The sequence below is a fragment of the Homo sapiens genome, chromosome 5, assembly GCF_000001405.40.
Source record: "Homo sapiens chromosome 5, GRCh38.p14 Primary Assembly".
NCBI lineage: Eukaryota > Metazoa > Chordata > Mammalia > Primates > Hominidae > Homo > Homo sapiens.
This window is the reverse complement of record NC_000005.10, coordinates 79,069,675-79,090,281: the sequence shown is the minus strand read 5'-3', so window position 1 is coordinate 79,090,281 and position 20,607 is coordinate 79,069,675. Positions and strand designations below refer to the sequence as shown.

The following is a 20,607-nucleotide window of genomic DNA, read 5'->3' as shown; positions in this document are numbered from 1 at the left end:
GTGTGACCTCAGGCAAGTTACCTAGCCTCCTTAAACTTCAGTTTCCTTACCTGTAAACTACTGTGTTAAACACTATCTAATTTTGAATCCCTGTTGGGGGGTATATGTAGATGAGATCATCTTTAGAACAAAGACTGCGACATAGTGAGTAATAAATATTTGCTAGTATTATTCCAAAGAATGTTCATGACATTTTCGACATTCAAACACTATAAAAGGTAAATCATTTTTATTGCCACAAATTGATAAATTGTTGTGAAAAAAAGAGAAACTGGCACACATGAAATAACACAAACATAAGAAGATATAAGACCAAAATAGATTTGAATTATGTCTCCCAGGCTGGATTGCAGTGGGGCGATCTCAGCTCACTGCAACCTCTGCCTCCCAGGTTCAAGCAATTCTCATGCCTCAGCCTCCAAGTAGCTGGGATTACAGGCATGCACCACCATGCCTGGATAATTTTTGTATTTTATTTAGTAGAGATGGGGTTTTGCCATGTTGGCCAGGCTGGCCTTGAACTCTTGACCCAAGTGATCTGCCCGCCCTGGCCTCCCAAAGTGCTGGGATTATAGGTGTCAGCCTGTGCCCCTGGCCTAAACTCTGACTTTTGAAAAGGTTTTCTAAAACTTTATTTTTAAACAATCAACAATAAGTATTTCACTGTGCACCTATTAGTATGTCTAACACAATGCTAAGTAAGGGGAATTATGAGAAGATTATAAGCTTATCACGTGATCTTGTCTTTAAATAGTTTATAACCTAGCTACCTATGATTATGAAGACACATTTTAAAAATTCTAGGACCTAATATCTTTTTTTTTTTTTTTTGAGATGGAGTCTCACTCTGTCACCCAGGCTGAAGTGCAATGGCCTGATCTCGGCTCACTGCAAGCTCCGCCTCCTGGGTTCAAGCGATTCTCCTGCCTCAGCCTCCCGAGTAGCTGGGATTACAGGCACCCGCCATCATGCCCGGCTAATTTTTGTATTTTGGTAGAGACAGGGTTTCACCATGTTGGTCAGGCTGGTCTTGAACTGCTGACCTCAGGTGATCCGCCCGCCTCGGCCTCCCAAAGTGCTGGGATTGCAGGTGTGAGTCACTTCGCCTGGCCAGACCTAATATCTTTAAGTAAAAATCATCTTTGAAAGTAATCACTTTGGATAGTTAAACATTTATTTCAATAATGCTACCATTGCTCAAAACATTCTTTACATCTTTTCTTTGGGATTGCCTTTGGAGTCATTGTATAAATCATTAAAAAAAGCAGACTCATTGCTTTAGTTTAGTGTTGCTCTATCATCCTCAAGTATCTAGCTTAGTCACTTGAATTATTCACTAGCTTTGGGTCTCAGTGACTTCTGATTATTTTAAAGTGTCAAATTCACCCTCAAAGACAAGTTTGGCTATTCTTCATGATCTTCAAAGGAATGCACCACAGCATGATTGGACAGTAAGTTCTTGGAGAACAAGGTGCCTCTCTCGCTTCTCTTTGCATCTCTGGTAGAGTCTGTTGCAGTGCTTAACCACAGCAGGAGCTCAATATGCACACACTTGTGGGCTGGAAGGGAAGGGGCTGCAGCACCTCAGCTGCTCAGCAGCTGGAGATAGCAGGGCATGGTGAGGATGAAGGTGAGGAACGGTTCCAGGTCAGGCTTGAGGGCAACTTTTTCCTGTTCGATTATTTCAGGGTTTTCTTTCACTACTCCTTAGAAGTCTGGCTTTGACAGCGAAGGACAGAAAGGTCTGCCTGAAGCTGGCAGCAGATTCTCCCAATACTCCCTTCGAGCCCTGTGTTTCAATATATACATAATTAATTAATTAAAAGTCTTACCTATAAGTCCAATATGTCATATATGTATATATGTATGTATATGTATATAACCACACACACACACACACACACACACACACACACACACACAGTCAAAACTTGGTGGATAATCAGGCTAAAGCAGAACTTTTGTTTTAACATACAGACGGAAAACTGTGTCCATATCCATTAATGCCAGGGGCCTTTCTTACATTTCAATAACAATCATTAGGTTTCATACCACCTTTCAGAAAAAGACAACGTATTTCAATTTCATATACTTTTTATTTTGAGACAGGGTCTTGCTCTGTTGCCCAGGCTGGAGTGCAGTGGCACAATCTTGGCTCACTGCAGCCTAGACCTCCTGGATTCAAGCAATCCTCCTGCCTCAGCCCCCCAGGTAGCTGGGACTACTGGCGTGCACCACCACACCAGGCTAATTTTTGTATTTTTAGTAGAGACAGGGTCTCCCCATGTTGCCCAGGCTAGTCTCAAACTCCTGAGCTCCAGTGATCCGTCTGCCTTGGCCTCCCAAAGTACTGGGATTACAGGTGTAAGCCACCATGCCCAGCCTTACATTTCACATACTTTTATGAATTATATTTATTCTGAAATTTCTAACAGAGTCCTTCTAACTCTATCAATATTTTAATGTAATGAGAAGAATACGAGAACAGTTTTTAATGTAATGAGTCAAAGTATAATTCTCCAAAAAGTAACTAAGAAAATAATACAAATTACTTTACCAATATTTGTTTCTTGTTGTTAGACAAAGGAAGAAGAGTACAAAGGTCCCTGGTCGTAGCCCTTTCTGATGAATATATTTTTATTGTTTTTTCCACTTTACTTACAAAACAATGAATAAATCAATATTTTTGGATGATGAGATGTCAGAAATCTAGTGTTTATTGTGTAATCATAAATTTCTGTGAATATCAGTAGGTTTGGGAGTCAGGGTAAAAAGGGTGTCTTCTTGCTTTGGTCTACAGAATAATGTTTTAATTCTAATAGCTAATGAATTTTAAGGATTCCTAGCAGATGATAATTAAATAAACTACTCACTTATTTAAACTATTTTAATCATCACCAAAGTATGTTTTCCTCACCTTTTAATTATATTTATATTTAATACTTTTTAAAAAGTATGACACATATACAAAACATCTTCTCTGGTAAATATCCATATCTCCTAGAAGAAAGCTTTGGCTAAGTGATTCTTGCCTACTTTTACAACCTAAGTAAATTTGCATTAGGCAAATTTTTCCAGTTCAAAAATGAAGACTTTCAAATCCCACTGAAATGAATAAATAAGCACAAAATGGGTGAAGTACATGAGAGTACTGAACAGAGAGAAGACAGCAGAGATTGTGACTAGTTCTAGAAGATGGAAGGGGGATGGAATTATATCAACAGATATACATACATATGTATATATATATATATATATATATATATACACACACACACACACATACATACACAAAAGATTATCTATATGGAAAGATAGAGAGAGACAGAGTATGAGTGTGTGTGTGTGAAATACAATGATCCATAACAGAACAGTAATTTTCTTGAGGCCCCAAGAAAAATGCCTTCAATAATAAAGTGACTTACTGTAACAAACAATATAATTTAGAAATTATAAGACCTCAGGGAAAGTGAAGCCCTGTTATTTTTCTTTCAACAATGGAAAAGGAAGTTAATCAGAAATCCCTAGAAAACCAAAGGCTATACAAAGAAAGTCAGACCAAGTATGAAGCAAATTGAAATATGGCATGGATTTGGACAATATATCCACGGGAATGCAAGAGAAGAAAATTCATTTGACCTTGATGCTTGGAACATTCTCCAACAAGTAGCTCAAGTTTTGTAAATAGGATTATTTCTCTTTATCCATGGTCCCATGCATACTACTTTGTTCTGCAGTGAACGTTTTTCTAAATGCAACAATTTTCTATTATTCCTGCAACAGAGTATTAGATTGGAAGTTTGACTGGAAACACCAAGGCATGATGGATTTTAGGTATCAAGGGGAGTTGCAAGACAGACACTGCACAGAAGTTAAAAGGAGGTGGCCACGAACCAGCCAGATGACTCATTTGACTGTCCCCTGGAAAATCTGGACCACAAGAGAACAATGGGCCAGCTACTTTGCTTGTGGGCAAAAGGGGTGCTGTTAAATTGGGGTCAGACCACACTCTCATGGCTTGTCTGCAGAAAGGGTGAAAGCTGTTTTGAGCCTAATGAGAGTGAGAGAGCCAGCCTGAACTATCTAAAATCTGGCCCAAGAGAATTACCGGGGAGGACAACAGGACCCCCAAATCAGAGTATATCTGGAGTGACCTGGTTGAAAAAGCCACTGTCTGAGGCAGAAGTCACAGTCAGAAAAATGCCTGTGGCATGAGAAGTACAGACAAAAGTTTCCAGTGGGAGCCTCTGAAGACCCATGAGCGTGCTCACAAAGATCTGCCAGGGTCAGAGGATGCCGGCTTCCTATCAGGGTGCCAGGCAAGCAACAACAGTCTTACTCCTTTATCCATCCTCTTTCTTCTTACTTTGAATCTGAGGAGGCCAGAAACCATGGTAGCAAGATGGGAAGGGAAGTTTGGGAGCATAACAGAGAAAGAGAAGCAGCGCGCTGGCCTCTCCTGGTTTCCTGTCTGTGGAAGGCTGTTGCTGGACAAAGGGAGAAGCTTCAAGTTTCAAACATGCTCTGAGTTTTGATTTGACATGAACCTGAACACTTTTATTTATTTTTTATTTTTGGGGTTTTTTTGTTTGTTCATTTTGAAATGGAGTTTCGCTCTATTGCCCAGGCTAGAGTTAAGTGGCACAATCTTGGCTCACTGCAACCTCCACCCCACTGAATTCAAGCGATTCTCCTGCCTCAGCCTCCCGAGTAGTTGGGATTATAGGCTCCCGCCACCACGCCAGGCTAACTTTTGTATTTTTAGTAGAGATGAAGTTTTGCCATGTTGGCCAGGCTGGTCTTGAACTGCTGACCTCAGGTGATCCACCAGCCTCGGCCTCCCAAAGTGCTGGGATTACAGGCGTGAGCCACTGTGCCCAGTCCTAAACACTTTTAATTACTGAACTGAGACTATCTGTGAAATAAAGTGATTATGGAACTTTCCATTGCCTAAGAGCACCCAGAGAAGTTCTAGAGCTGGTCAGTATTTTCAAGTAGGAACAAACGAAGGAATTCATTGAGTAGGTTTAAAGGGATAGAGGGAGACAAAAATAAAAGTGAATTCTAATTATGTCTCATGAGTCCTGCTTGTTTAATATAACAATTATAATAATATTGTAAATGTTATTCACTGATTTTATATTTTTAGGATCAACCTACAGAGAAAGCTTGAAAGACAATTATAACTATAGAATAGAACAAAATGGTTATAAACCTTGATGATAGTAAAGTATGGTAAAACTTAAAGACACCAAGGGGTAGATGAGAGAGGGAAGGTGGAAAGAAGCAGAGGGGAATCTATTCTTATTTTACAGAGAGTGGAGTCAAGAGATTCCTGCCTTATATTGATGAACTAAGAAACAGGTGGTTAAATATATAATTTTAACTTAAAAAGATATCCAACAGAAGAAATAAAAGTGTAACGAATCAAAACTGGAAAAAGGAGAACGGGGAAAAGGGGAAGCCTATGTGATTTAAATCCCTCAGCTTTCATAAAGGGTTATCAATAGTTACCACTTAAAACTGATGACAAAAGAAATAGAGGTACAAGATTTCAAAACACAAATGACAAACAGGTTTCCTCTGTGCCATGGTCTGATTGTCTGTGTCCCCACAATGCACATGTTGAAACCTAGTCACCAGTGTGATGATATTAGGGGGTGGAGCCACTGGGAGGTGATTGGGTCATGAGGATGCATCCCTGATGAATGGGACTAGTGCCCTTAGAAAAGAGGCCCCACTCTAACTTTGGGAGGCCAAGGCAGGCGGATTACGAGGTCAGGAGTTCGAGACCAGCCTGGGTAACATAGTGAAACCCCGTCTCTACTAAAAATACAAAAATTAGCCGGATGTGGTGGTGGGCGCCTGTAATCCCAGCTACTCGGGAGGCAGAGGCAGAATTACTTGAACCTGGGGGGCAGAGGTTGCAGTGAACCGAGATTGTGTCATTGCACTGCAGCCTGGACAACAGAGCCAGACTCCATCTCAGAAACAAACAAACAAACAAACAAACAAAAAAGACAAGAGGCCCCAGGGAGCTGTGGTGCCCCATCTACCATGTGAGGACACAGCAAGAAGGTATCATCTATAAGGAATGCCTGCTTCCTTATAGATGGCCTTTATCATCTCTAAGGCCTTCACCAGAAATTGAATCTGCTGACACCTTGATCTTGGACTTTGCAGTCTCCAGAACTGAGAAAGAAATTTCTGTTGTGTATAAGCCACCCAGTTTATGGTATTGTTCTAACAGCCCAAATGGACTAAAGACAATTTTGGGAATGGAGCTGGTATCAGGAAGGGGATAATTTTTACTTTTCACTTTATACATTTCTATACTTTTTGTCATGTGCATGCATGACATTTACAACAATAAATAAAATGAGATTAAAGGAAAATAATAAGAATGTTAATTTAAAAATGCTTACCTTGCTCTAATCCAGGGTTTGGTGTGCATGTCCAAACCACTTCCCCAGCTGCCGTGTTTTTCTGAAGCTGGTGGCAAAAAGCCCCTTTCTGGGGCCAGCTCCTCTGCAATTGCCCTGATGTGGTAGGGCTCAAATCCACAGCACCCGCCAATGTACCTGACCCCCAGGTTGTAGGCCTCTCTGGCGTATTTTTGAATATCCCATCTGGTGGCAACTCTGGACTCCAGTCCTGAATCACAATAGTTAACAGCATTTCTGTTACTGTTCTCATTTTCAAATGATGGATGCTCTAATGAGCAGTTTTTCCAATTAAAAAAACTATAAACTTTAGATGATGCATTCTTCTGATAGCTCATTTTTGGTTAACTCTGAATGTTTTGTCATATGCAGTCTCTTATTGTAAAACTGGGCCACAATTTATTATAGCCATTTGGATTTTGTCACGAGAAATACAAGGACCTCTACTATGCACCTGAGCTTACCAAAGGGATATTCTGGGAGATCCACAAACCCCTCTTTGCCACAGTCAGGCGCGTGGAACCCCAGAGGCTGCACCATGAGGTGCGCTTTCAGCCCTGCCCACTCAAGACCCTCCTTCATGAGCTCCATCGTCTTCAAGCTGGTGTCGGGCCCAAAGCGGCAGTTCACGCCAACGATGGAAGCCCCTGTGCAAAGAAATAACACTTACATTTTATTATTTATTTGTTTATTCTTTTTTTTTAATAGTTGGAAGGTACCTTAGAGGTTAGCCATTCCCCTCCACCTCCCACAATTTACAGATAAGAAAACTGATTGGAGTTCATTCTTCTATTTCCAAACTGCTCTCACAATATCAAGCACACTTTGTTAAATTTCGTAAGCAACAACTGAGCTGTGTATCACGGTATGGGTCCAAATTACCTGCCTTCACCAGCCTCACAGCACATTCTCCGGGGGTTATATCATGCATGTCTCCCTCTGGGCCTATGCACATGGTAACTGCCACGGGTCTATCTGATTCTTTTAAGACTTCCACAGCCCACACAGCTTCTTCAACGTGCTCAAAATACTAAGAGAAATGTCACTTTTTCTACTGGTCCAAACATAAAGCAGATTTTGAATGGTAAAGGTAAATATAGCAAAACAGTTATAAAAATTACCAAATAGAATATAAACATATGCATAATAAAACTTGCTAAGGAATGTGTGTCTATCAGACTGACTAAAGAATACCTTTCTGAGTAAACATTTTCATTCCTATAACAATAACATATAGTTTTTCATTCAGGGTTCATTGATTCAGTGAGATGATGCCTATTAGTAAAAAAGAAGAAAACACACCCAGAGGTTTTCAAAGTAATTGAGTATTTAAAATCATAATTTTGTAATTTTGAAGGAGGAAAAGTTTTGCTAATAAATTTTAGATTCATCTCTTATAAAACTGGGGTAATCTCTGAAACAATGAGTAGCTTATCATGTGTTATAGTTCAAAGAGCTTTTATATTCACTTCTAGTTAGATATTCATAAGTGCTCCATAAAGTAGGAAGGGAAGCACCATTTCCCCGGGTGAGAAGATTGAGGCACAGCATAGGAGAAATAGCTACTCCCTGTCTTTGCCAGTGGTGGACAGGACATCTTGTCTGGTAAACCCATGTCATTTTCTTGGGTGCTTCCCAGGAAGCCCCTTCAGTGCCACAGCTGAAAAGCTGACCTTAAGGCAACTAAAGAAAAGCCAGAAATCTTCCTGTTTCTTCCCTCTTGAGTTAGAAACAAATTCTGCAGAAGCAGTGTGAGGAATTATGAGAGAATCAAAAGACGGGTTCTTAAACAAACAGAGTGGTGTCATCATCCATCTGGAAAGCACAGAGGGTGGAATTTGTGCTTGTCCCTGCAGATGACTGTTCCCAGTGGGGTTGGCCAGGCGTGGGCAGGAGGATGAGGCAAGGTTTTCAGTAGAGTTCAGTGGGGTCACTAGGGGGAATAATGGTGGCGGCTATTCTCTCTCTCTCTCTTTTGAGACAGAGTATCACTCTGTCGCCCAGGCTGGAGTGCAGTGGTGCCCTATCTTGGCTCACTGCAACCTCCGCCTCCCAGGTTCAAGCCATTCTCCTGCCTCAGCCTCCAGAGTAGTTGGGACTACAGGCTCCCACCAACATGCCCAGCTAATTTTTGTATTTTTAGTAGAGATGGGCTTTCACCTTGTTCACCAGGGTAGTCTCAAATTCCTGACCTCATGCCATCCACCTGCCTTGGCCTCCCAAAGTGCTGGGATTACAGGTGTGAGCTACCGCGCCAAGCCAGGGGATATTCTCTTGTTTGGAGTAAAGTTGTGGGTTGAAGGCATGACCCCAGGCAGTAGCAGTTATGTTGGGAAATGGGGAATGAGGACTTTCGTTTTGGAAGTGGAGGAAAGAGAATGTTCTGGGCCTTCATGTCCAATCAATGACCAATTCTTACTGATTCTTTCTTCAAAATGTAATTCACATGTCATAGCTTGAGTGAAAGCAGAGAGGCAAGAAGAGCAAGACATGGATGGAGAAGGCTATGGAAACTACTGGGTGCTGAGCATTATTGGTGGGGCCTAGACGAGCCTGGATAGCCACCACCTTCCAGGCCTTGCTCTCTCAGTCCCCAGCCCACACATGCAGTGCCCTCCTGTGTGGATTCTCCCTCTGGAGAGGGTGCTCCCGGAGGCACTGTGCCCTATGCTTCCTTATAGGTTGTAGAGTCCCCCAAGTCAGCTTCTGCAGCCACCCAGACCTTAGAAGATAAAAGGCTATGGTCAGGCCTCTCTTGGGTCTGTCCTTTGGCTCTAAGAGAACCTAGCATACCAATGAGGGAATGTTGGCCTTGACTACCATGCATTTAAATAAACCTTTGACCATCCACATGGAAGAAATGAGGGCAGAATGTTGTCCAATACCCTCATGAAATGTGAAGACTCTGCAGTTATGCTTGCAAAATAGGTTCAATCCTTTTCCTCCAATACTAGCCTCACCTCTGCAATCAAGAAGTCCACATTTTTCCAGGCAAAAACTTCTAGCTGTTGTCGAAAAAGTTTTTTAATTCTAGCTTCATCCTTCTGGTATTTGTATATTGATGTCTGGCAGATCCCCCCTGCTACCAAAGCATCACCTTTGCCAGCCACTTCCCTGGCGAGGTCACAGGCAGCAGCATTTACATCTTCCCACTGAGGTTAGAGAGCAAGAGTTCAGATAGTGAGCCTAGCAGTTTGAAGGTAAAATATAAAAGATAACTAAAGGGACAATAAACAAGTAAGATGAGTATAAGCCACTCTCTTCAATGCAAGCAGAAAAGACCAGCAGAGTTGGGTACAATCTCCTCTGTTACCATGACCTTATATTTCCATTATTGTACTTACCACATTGGATTTTAATAACTATTTGTTTGCCTCCCATACTTGACCTTGCACCTCCAGATAGGGTCTATGCCTTTGTATCAACTTTGAGTCTAACATAGAGAATGGACTGTAACAGATACTCAGTACATGTTGGTTGGTTGAATGAATTAATGGGCATTAACATTTACACGTATTAACATTTTACATTTGCAGAATATTTCACAATACTTTCACATCCTTGGTCTTACTTACTCTTCTCAACAGGTCTATGAATTTAAGCACTACTGTTGTCTCCATTTTACAGAGAGAAAACCAATGCTCAATGCAGGTAGGTGTCTTACACAAAGCCACACAGCCAATAGGTGGCAATGCTGGATATCAAACCCGTTTTTTCTCATTTCTACTCCAGTATTGTTTTTTAGGGCCTCCCTGTCTCCAGAAGAGAAAAGTGTGAAATGAGAAGGTGAAAAGAGCATCTATGAAGTGCTTTCTCTCTAAAAAATAGCACAAGAAGACAGCCATGCCCTTCCAATGGTTTATTTTACCCCTAGTCCTGACCCCTCCTCTACCTAAATGGGAAGAGAAAGCTAATTCATTTAGTATATATTAACTTCTTTTTTTTTGCTGACATGGGGTCTTGCTCTGTCACCCAGGCTGGAGTGCAGTGGTGTGATCTCGGCTCAATGCTATCTCCCAGGTTGAAGCCATTCTCATGCCTCAACCTCCTGCGTAGCTGGGATTACTGGCGCCTGCCACCACACCCAGCTAATTTTTGCATTTTCAGTAGAGACAGGGTTTCACCATGTTGTCCAGGCTGATCTGGAACTCCTGGGCTCAAGTGGTCTGTCCACCTCGGCCTCTCAGAGTGCTGGGATTACAGGTGTAAGCCACTGTGCCCGACCTATTTAGTATATATCTTCACGTGAAAATTAATACATATTTATATGGACTTTGTAATAAAGTATAGTAACACATAATCAATTCCATAGCTTCCCATGAAGAGGTTATTTTTTAATAGATGACTCCCTCCCCCACACCCAGCCATTGCCGTTTACCTTGCTTTCCATATTGTCCTCACTGGCAGAAAAGGTAAAAGTCTGCATGACATTTGATCCTGCTCTCAAGAATTCCATGTGAAGTTGACGAACTACAAAGTAGTTGGGTTTTAAACATTGAAATAAATGAATAAAGAAATATTACAGAAGCTATCATTTTCAAAAGCAGCAGTAGCTCACTGACTCCCATCTCTTTCAATCATACCTCAGTTCAAACCTAGTAGTAACAAAAAATTATAGATTAAGGTCAGTAGAATTCATAGGCAGGATGTACTGTTTAGAGCAGCCTTGTATTGTTCTGGTGATGGGCCTCAATGACTTGGTGCAGTCACATGCAGAGATTAAGGCCTGACTGGCCAATTAACCCTTGGTCTCTTGGTCTAGAGAGGTTTATTCTATACCTGTGTTGTAAAGGACAGAGCTGGTCTACTATAGTCAGCATTGGCAGCCCTTAAAGTAAAGTGAGGAGCTTCTCATAGAAAGCAGAATGCATGTGGGTGGCACCCATATCAGAGTCAGAGCAAGCAGTTTGGGAACATCAGAAAGCAGTCTGGAAGCTTTTCCTGGCTATCTGAAAGTCATTCCTTCCTCTCCTTCACCACTTTCGCCCCTCCTCCCTTATCCTTACTCTTGTTATTCCAGCACTTTCTTCCCAGTTTAGCAAAAAGGTCTTTTAACATTAAGAACAAGTTCTTCTTGGGCCAGATGAAAACATCCTGTTAAGCACCAAAGGAACAAAACTTGGTCCTGCTCTACCACAGAACTCTGGGTGTCCGATGCACCAATCATAACGGCCATCGTACTGATGATACGGGCACTTCACACGGGTTAACTTGTGAGTCCTCACACCTAGCCCATGTTGTGCCCCCATGAAACAGATTAAGATATGGATCCTTGGAGAGGTCAAGTGACTTGTCCAAGGTCACACAGCTGGTCAGTGGAAGAATCAAGACAGGACCCTAGGTTTATCTGATACGCTGTGTGAATATACATAAAATCAGAGTGAATCAAAAGTTCCAGTCTCAGCTAGTGTTCTCTTACACCCATTTCATTCTTTGGCTTTATTTTCTCACTTTAATTTAGGAGAACAAACACACAAAAAAAGAGTTAGAAGAGAATTAAAGTTTTCATTTCAGGTAACTATCTAATCCCATCATAGTTCTTTACCTCTAGCTCTTTTTTTTTTTTTTTTTTCCCAGCCAGGAGGATGATATAAAACTGTGTTGACTTCCTTGCCCTCCCAACCCTGGAACCTGGCTGTCTGTGCTCTGTTACACTGTGACTACCATTAATCACCCTCACTATAAACGCTGTTACACTTAACCATGCACATTGTCAGCAGGGTGAATCAGAAGCAGGAACAGTTTTGCTGTTTTAAGGAAACTCTGTATATCTACAAGGTAAATATTCATGGAACAAATATTAAGATGTCTATTTTAGCACTGCCTGTACATTAAGATGCAGATGTGTGTGTGTATGAGAGTGTGTGTGTGTGTGAGAGTGTGTTGTGTGGGTGTGTATGTGTGTTTGTGGTGTATGTGGGTGTGGATGTGGGGTGTGTGTGGATGTGGGGTTGGGGTGTGAGTGCATGGATGTGTGTGTGTGGGAGTGTGTGTGGGCGTGTGGATGGGTGGGTGTGTGATGTGGGTAGGTGTGTGTATGAGAGAGAGAGAGGTCATTTTCTTCCATATACTTCCGCCTGTATACTGCCATTATCTCCACATCTTGGCAATCTTAGCAAGCAAAACACCCCTTTGAAACAGTTGTTATTTTTTTCTTGATCTTCTCTCAATCAGATTTAAATAAAATACCACTCAGGTAGACACTCTTGGGGATGTGGACACCAACCTGCGTCTGGGTGTTCTATCACTGCCTCTGGAGTCCAGAGCCCAGCCTTCACATAGCCTCTCTTCTCCAGAGTAATGAGAAAGCTGCCATCTCCAATCACAACCTCCCCACTCTCCAGGCGCTCCAAAATCCCCTGAAGAAGAGAAAAAAAGCACCTAAGCTCCGCTCTACTTTTTTTTTTTTTCCTAAAAGCATTTTCTAATTTTAGGTGAAGTGGTATTACGTTCTTAGAGCTGTAGTTTTGTTAAAATCATGTGCTCTAATAATATTTCAGAAAGATTGAGCATACCATATTTCTTGGCCGATCCAGGTTCCTATTTTGTACAATGAAAGGGCTGAGACTATTTATTCTTAAATAACATTTAATCTGAGTCAAATTATAGCACTGATTCCACGATAGTTATTTTGGCTTTTCAACATGTTTGTGACAACACAGCTAGTTGTCTACCTAGTGTGCATTCTCTCCCCTGTTTTTGTGTGGGGGGACAATGCCCCTAACTTTCAAAAAATTCCCAGGTTCCTTTGCCTCTGGGAGCAGCCCTGTGACACAGTGCTGGCCAGTGAGACACATACGGAAGCTGGTGGAGGATTTCTGGAAAAGTTTTGCTTTCCTGACATAGACGCCCACTCCCTTCCCTTTTGTCTATTTTCCTCCTTCCTGGCTGGAATGCCAACATAATGCCTGGGAATACAGCAGTCATCTGACAGCCATATGAGGCAGATTTCTTAAGACATCCTTGGGTGGCTGCGGCAGCCATGGGCTGTTACCCCTGGACCTCTTGTTAGGTGAGAAAAATAATTTTTCTTCGTGTCAGCCACTGAACAGAACGGTAGTGGACACAACGCTTTGTAGTCATGCAGTGTGTTCACACGTGTCTTATCATTTGGCACTCCCAGCAACTCTGCCAGTGAGGCAGGACACAGTTTTTATTCTCAGGTGTAGATGAGGAAACTGAGGCTCAGAATGGTTGACTTGCCCAAGATCACAGAGCTAAGTAAGTAAAAAATCAGACTAGCTTCTAAATTCCTACTCTCTTTTCCTTCTATTTTACCACCTTCCTATTTAGCCCACTCATAACTTATTTAAAAGGTTCCATTCAGAGCAGTTAGCCATGGGGTGCAGTTTCCTTTTGATACAGAAAGGCCTCAGGCCTGTGCCCACAGACCCTGGTGAGGATAGGCACTCCTGTTTTTGCGCCCAAATGTTGCATTTTCCAAGACCACCCTGGCCCGCCACACCTCCATCCTGTGCCTATAAAAACCTCAAGACCCTAGCAAACACAAACACAAGCAGCTGGACGTTGAGAGGAACACACTGGCAGAAGAACACACAGACTCTGGCAGGCCATCGGTGGCAGAATGACACAGACGAAGTGGAATTCAGCCAGGGGTAATCAGAGGAGAGTCTGGCTGCTGAGCGGCCTGACTCCAGGGGAAGACCGCCTTCCCACTCCATCCCCCTTCTGGCTCCCCATCCATCTGCTGAGAGCTACTTCCACCATTCGATAAAACCTTGCACTCATTCTCCAAGCCCATGTGTGATCCAATTTTTCCAGTACACTGGCAAGAACCCCAGGATACAGAAAGCCCTCTGTCCTTTCGATAAGGCGGAGGGTCTAATTGAGCTGATTAACACAAGCTGCCAGTGGACAGCTAAGCTGAAAGAGCACACTGTAACACACACCCACTGGGGCTTCAGGAGCTGTAAACATTCACCCCTAGATGCTGCCATGGGGTACCTGCATGCTCCCCCTAGGGGTTTAAGCTGTGGGGTGCTGAAGAAGTGATCCACGCCTCCATCACACACCCTGCAAGGGGCATAAGGGAACTTTTCCCATTTCACTTGGTCTAAAGCACATCTCCCCAGGTGCCTGCAGGGTCATCCCCTCACTGCTTTCTGGTCTTTGGTCAAGTGTCACCTTTTCAGAGATGCCTTCCCTGAGCAATGCAAACCACCCACTCCTCCCAACTCCCCACAGCAATCCTGATCCCTCTTTTGTAGGCTGCATCAGTGGAAGATGCAACCTTTTATTGATAATAGGCCAGTTCATTTCAGGCCTGCCCATAGCTGGACACAAAGCAATGAATGGATCAGGGAGAAAAGCCTCAGATGCCTCTTTTAACTAGTCTTATCTGTTCTATGAAATCAACATAAACCCCCTCAGTTCCTGAATCCAAGGGAGACATCAAGCAGGGTACATAGGCAGCTTACTGGCCTACGTGTTGGGTGTAGGGTAAAACTAAGCTGTGTAAAAAAGAGGCCCCCACAACAGTGGCTTTAAATAAAAGTAGTTTCTTTTTCCTCTGTAAGAGGAAAGCCACTGTTTGTGGGGGACTCTTTTTTACAGAGTGTGCACCAAATTGCACAGTCCTTTTATCTTATTGCTTTGCCATTCCCTACGGCAGGGGTCAGCACATGACAGCCCACAGACCAAATCTGGCACATCACCTGTTTTTGTAAAAACAGTCTTAGGTAAAACCCTGCCCATTGATTTACATATTGTCTAATGGCCACTTTTCCACTACAGTAGCAGAGTTGAGTAGTTACCACTGAGACTGTATGGCCCCCAAGGCTAAAAATAATTACTATCTGACCCTTTACAGAAAGCGTTTGCCAACCCAGCCCTAGGGTACTGTCCTCCTCAGCATGGGGGAAACTGGATCAGAGTCACGTTCATACTCTGTCTCAAACGATGAGGAAACAGTGTGGCAAAGCTCATCCTAAAGTTTTTAGCTCAGACCTAGAAGTGACTCATCTCATTGACATTTACATTTCCTGCGTGAGAGTTTAGCCACATGGCTCTACCTTGCTGCAAGGGAAGCCAGGAAGTATCATCAGTGAATGTCCATGTGTCCAGCTCCAACGCTAATCCTTCGGAAGGAGGGGGAACAGATTTTGGAGAGAAACTGCTTCTGTTCTAGTGTCTGGCATCTGCTATTTCTCCTTTGCTTACTCCCCACACAAAGTGACCCACCCAGGTGTCAGGAGCGAGCTTCCTTGGATACCAAGGAACAAAGAGATCCCAAACACATTTTGGCCATATTGCTTGATATACTATTTTCTTCAATCTTTTCCCAGGAGGCTGGAAGGCCATAAAGGCAATAAAGAATAAGAGGGAAGCTAATTTGATCTTGGTTACAGGAGTCTTTGTCCTTAGCTGGGTCAATCCTGGATCTAATAAAAGCAACCAGAAATTAAAGCAGACGTGAGGATCTTCCCACAGAGCCTCCCAGGACAGTCCTGTTAACAGTATGGAACCAAACATGAGAGGTCAAATATGGCTTGAATAATCTCTTAATCTCCATCGAATGGCATGACTAGAGAGGGGGCTTATTCTAGCTTTCTCCCCATGTTCAGTTTAGCTGCAGAAGTACAAACCACTCTGACTAAGCAGAAAGGAGTTTAATATTGAGAAATGGGTACATAAAAAATTTACACTGGGCTTCCAGAAATGACCCCTAGAAAAACATGACTGAATTGGCCGGCTGGGGCTGCACCCTCTGCCACAACTAAGAGAAGCCACTATTGAACTGTTGGCTTCAGGACACAGCTGTCATATAGGGAGAAGGAGGCTGCTCCAGCGACCTCAGCTGCCCCTCACGTGACCCTGGAATGCTGCACTATGGCCACATTTGCTATGCTTCCACCTTCCCAGACTCATACTGGTGCATCTGATTGGGGATGCTAGTTCTTATCCAGATCCTAGCTGCAAAGGAGTCTGGCAAAGTGGTTAGTTTTCTTTCCTCTGCAGTGCAAGAAGGTCCATCAGAAGGGGTTTAACTAGAGGTAAATACCAGGTCACTCTACCTACAGCATCTTTTTACTGTGCACTTGGAGGGCAGGCAAATGGAGCCCAGCTGTGTGAACTATGTTAAACATAAACACTATTTTGGCAGAGAGAGCTCTCAACTCTGGTTATTTTTCCATATTTTATATCTAAAGCTGAATTTTAGCTGAATGCAGAAGAAATGTTAATATTTACTGATTCTCATCTCTTTCTTTCTCCTCCCTGCATCAAATGCAATTCACTCTTTTCAATTTGTACTTTTGAAATATAAAAAAGGCCTTAAATTTTGGACGTTTATTGAGACCTTCCACATGTCAGGTATAGTTGTGGGCAAGTGGGATAAACATCAGAATAAGACAAGGTCTCTGCCCTCCACAAGCTCAAAGTCTGGCTACTTTGGGGAAGGCCAATAAATCAACAAATAATCACAGCAGAATGTGACCAATAAATGCTACACAGGAATACAGAAGAGAAAGTCAGAGGTACAGTTACTGTGTACAAACTGTTTTCCTGAAAATCCCATACACTTCATTAGGTTCACCATGTTAAGAATCAAATTTAGGCCAGGCGCGGTGGCTCACGCCTGTAATCCCAGCACTTTGGGAGGCTGAGGCAGGCAGATCACTTGAGGTCAGGAGTTTGAGACTAGCTTGGCCAACATGGTGAAACTCCATCTCTACTAAAAATACAAAAATTAACTGGGCATGGTGGCAGGTGCCTGTAATCCCAGCTACTTGTGAGGTGGAGGCAGGAGAATAGCTTGAACCTGGGAGTTGGAAGTTACAGTGAGTTGAGATTGTGCCACTGCATTCCAGCCTGGGCAACAGAGTGAGACTCTGTCTCAAAAAAAAAAAAAAAAGAATCAAATTTACTCAAACAATTGTCGAGGGAAAACATTGGCACAGAATTCAGATGTTGTAGGTTAGCTTCTCACCTCCCACATCCAACCTATCACAGGGTTATGCCAAGTGTATTACACATTTCTCAAATGCCCCACCATCCTCACTGCATTTGATTATTGAAATGGTCTCCAGTTCTCTCCAGCCCTACTCTGAACTGTCTTCCATTGCTACCAGAGCACAGGCTCACTGACCCAGTCTCACCTGTGATTATACCCCTTTTGTGTCCTGCTTAACTTCACAGATCCTTCATTCATGCATCCCCCTGTACAGCAGTATCTGGTTACTTACTTGTCACCTCAGTTTGACTGTAAGAGGCTTGGGGGCAGGTGACATATCTTATTGGTCTATATCCCTACCACCACATATAACAACTAAAATGAGTAGACACTTAAGAAACTATGCCAAGAATTAGCAAATAAACAGGACTGTTTTGAAAATGTCAGATGTATTGCATATGCTAGAATTTTTGTCCTGAAGAAGAAAAAATGTTACTCTTTAGCAGACAATTAGGTAGGTTTTAAGAAAATTGTAGTATATATTTTGACTGTGTCTTTATGAAACCAAGTAAAGGGAGGACATTTTCATTTGTTATCTGGATGTTTGTCCACCATTTTAAATTTGCCATTTTTCTTTTCTTTTCTTTCTTTTTTTTTTTGAGACAGAGTTTCACTCTTGTCGCCCAGGCTGGAGTGCAGTAGCGCGATCTCAGCTCACTGCAACCTCCACCTCCAGGGTTCAAGCAATTCTCCTGCCTCAGCCTCGCAAGTAGCTGGGATTATAGGTGCATGCCACCATGCCCAGCTAATTTTGTATTTTTTAGTAGAGACAGGGTTTCACCATGTTGTCCAGTGTGGTCTCGAACTCCTGACCTTAGATGATCTGCCTGCCTCGGCCTCCCAAAGTGCTAGGATTACAGGTGTGAGCCACTGTGCCCGGCCAATTTGCCATTTTTCTACATAGCCATTAGCAAAATAACTAAGTTATCAAGATTTGAGATCAGAGCATCTTTTAGCCCTTCCTTCACTGCTATTCTAACTACCTCAATTAATTACTATACCAGTATGATCCCTTCTTTAGTTTTTTTTTTTTTTTTTTTTTTTACTTTTAAGTTCAGGGGTACATGTGCAGGATGTGCAGGTTTGTTACACAGGTAAATGTGCATCATTGGAGGTTTGCTATATGGGTTATTTCCTCACCCAGGTATTAAGCCTAGTATCCATTAGTTATTTTTCCTGATCCTCTCCCTCCTTCCACCCTCCACCCTTCGATAGGCCCCAGTGTGTGTTGTTCCTCACCATTATACTAGTACGATCTAAAGTCAACTGTAAAATTATAAAGACAGGAACATGTAAAATAAGGAACCCTGTAAATTAATTTTGCAGTACATTTATATTTTCATTCCCTCCTCCCCATCAGTTTGGCAGTGAACCTGCCTTGCATCTGACAGCGAGCTCTAGGGTGCATTTATGCCCCCTTTTTGCAGATATCACTACGTAAGACCTCTGGGTTTAAGATCTGGCTTCAAGACATCTCTATTCATACTCAGTGGGGATCAACTTCACTGTGTAGTAGGAGGTGATCAGAAAAACCCAGTCTGTCTAAAATAACTTCCCCTTTTCCTAGATTTGCCAGCAGAACTGCTCTTTTGGATTTAAGACCTAATTGGAGGTCTTGTCTGTGGCAATTAAATGAATTCTTAAAATGTACCTGCTAGCTGAGGAGAGAGGTGAGATTAGTTCCTTCCCATTAACACCTTAACTCCCAGGTACACATTCACATGGATTAGTGTGTGATAATCTTGGTGTTGTAACAGTAGAGGCCCCAAAGACACTGAACAAAAACAGGGCATTTTAAAAACGTTTAAAAATATGAACTGTAAAGATGAACATAGCATTAGAGAAAGTTGAGAGAAAAAAGCACAATGTTCTTTGATTATTTTTATTAACTGTATTCTTTCAATGCTCACATTTTGCTTTTATAACCTGAAAAAATATCCTAAAACATGCTTTTTAAACCAATATTCCACATCTTGTGTAACTATTACCATTATTGTGTCCTTCCTTACAGTGTGTATATAAATATTTGTATATGGTTGGGATCAGTTTGTGATATATTTCCTTTTGCAACTTAACATTGCCAAGGCACTTAGCTGGTTCTCATACTAAGTTATTTAACTGTCTAATAACTTAAGTAGATGAACCTTAATTTATTTAGAATCCCGTATTGCAGAGTATCTTGGTCGTTTCTAACTTTTTAGTATAAATAGCTCGGTGGTGCACATTTCCACGCATAAACTGCCCCTCCTCCCTTCCTCCCATTCTGAATGACAGGGCTGGAGCGGGTGGGGGTCTCTGAAGGGTCCTGGGGATGTCTTTCGTCCAAGCTCATGCCCTTCCTAATTTTGCTTAGTCACTCCTTCATCCCACCCCCACACATACTCGACGTAGAAATGGCTGGGCATAAAGCCAACATCTGGTGACCAGACCAGGAAAGGGGCCAGGAGCTGGGGACCACCGGGTGAGAGGAGGTTGAGGGGTGCTAGCGAATCCCACCTACCCTCCACCCTGCACCGCAGCTCTGGGGGCGTCCTTGCCCAGGACTAGTTTCAGACCAGCCGGCGACTCGCAAGGCCAGGCTGCTTGGCCAGGCTGCTGACTTTTCCAAAACGCGAGGGGACAGTCCGAAGAGTTCCCGGACGGATTAGCCCAAAGAGCTGCGGGCGAGGGTCGGTTGAGGGAAGAAAATGTGTGCGCGACATGCGTCCGAAAGCTAGACTTCTGATCCTCGCTCCCCGCGGGGCTGGACCCGTGACCCTGAGCTAGTCGCCTGACTCGCCGAGCCTCAGTTTCCTCACCTGTGAAATGGGGATAATTGTGAAGATGAGGAGATAACTTGAGCACAGCACTCTGTGCAGCGCCAGGCACCGAGTAAGGGCTCCATAAACGCTAACCAACCCGTGACAGGGGAAAATTGAGGCTCAGGGCCATCCCGTCCAAGTGTTTTGCCGAGGCCCCAGGGCTTGGCTAGGGATGGACGCCGGGTGTGAACGGAGTCGCTCGCAGCCCAGCGGCCAGGAGCTCCGCGAGGATCGAGGGGACGAAACTCACCTTCTTGGCCCCCGGGCGTCCAGCAGGTGCCATGGTGCCGCGGCTCTGTGGGCGCCGGGTTCCCGGGCGCGCGGCCGTCTAGGAGCCCGCCCCCAGCCCGGGGGGAGGATCCGACCCCCGCCCCGCCGGCCCCGCGGCCTC

At 43.2% G+C, this 20,607-nt stretch overlaps 1 protein-coding gene across 2 annotated transcripts; it reads right to left on the bottom strand.

The window, feature by feature from the left end:
* BHMT2 (betaine--homocysteine S-methyltransferase 2) lies at positions 213 to 20,515 on the bottom strand. Of its 2 annotated transcripts, NM_017614.5 has the most exons (8): positions 20,467 to 20,515; positions 12,670 to 12,802; positions 10,822 to 10,913; positions 9,404 to 9,595; positions 7,326 to 7,473; positions 6,908 to 7,090; positions 6,426 to 6,654; positions 213 to 1,789 (listed from the first exon to the last, which is right to left on the bottom strand). In NM_017614.5, the coding sequence occupies exons 1-8, from the start codon at positions 20,497 to 20,499 to the stop codon at positions 1,708 to 1,710; spliced, it is 1,092 nt and encodes a 363-aa protein (NP_060084.2). In that variant the 5' UTR covers positions 20,500 to 20,515; the 3' UTR covers positions 213 to 1,707. The 2 variants fall into 2 exon arrangements, with proteins under 2 accessions (NP_060084.2, NP_001171476.1); NM_001178005.2 differs by lacking the exon at positions 9,404 to 9,595.

What these genes read in the sequence shown, in the direction of transcription:
- BHMT2 (NM_017614.5), bottom strand. Translation starts at nt 20,499, where the DNA reads ATGGCACCTGCTGGACGCCCGGGGGCCAAGAAG. An exon ending in AGGACAATATGGAAAGCAAG is followed by an intron (nt 9,596 to 10,821) that starts GTAAACGGCAAT and finishes CTCTAACCTCAG; the next exon opens with TGGGAAGATGTAAATGCTGC. An exon ending in AAACCCTGGATTAGAGCAAG is followed by an intron (nt 1,790 to 6,425) that starts GTAAGCATTTTT and finishes ATTGAAACACAG; the next exon opens with GGCTCGAAGGGAGTATTGGG.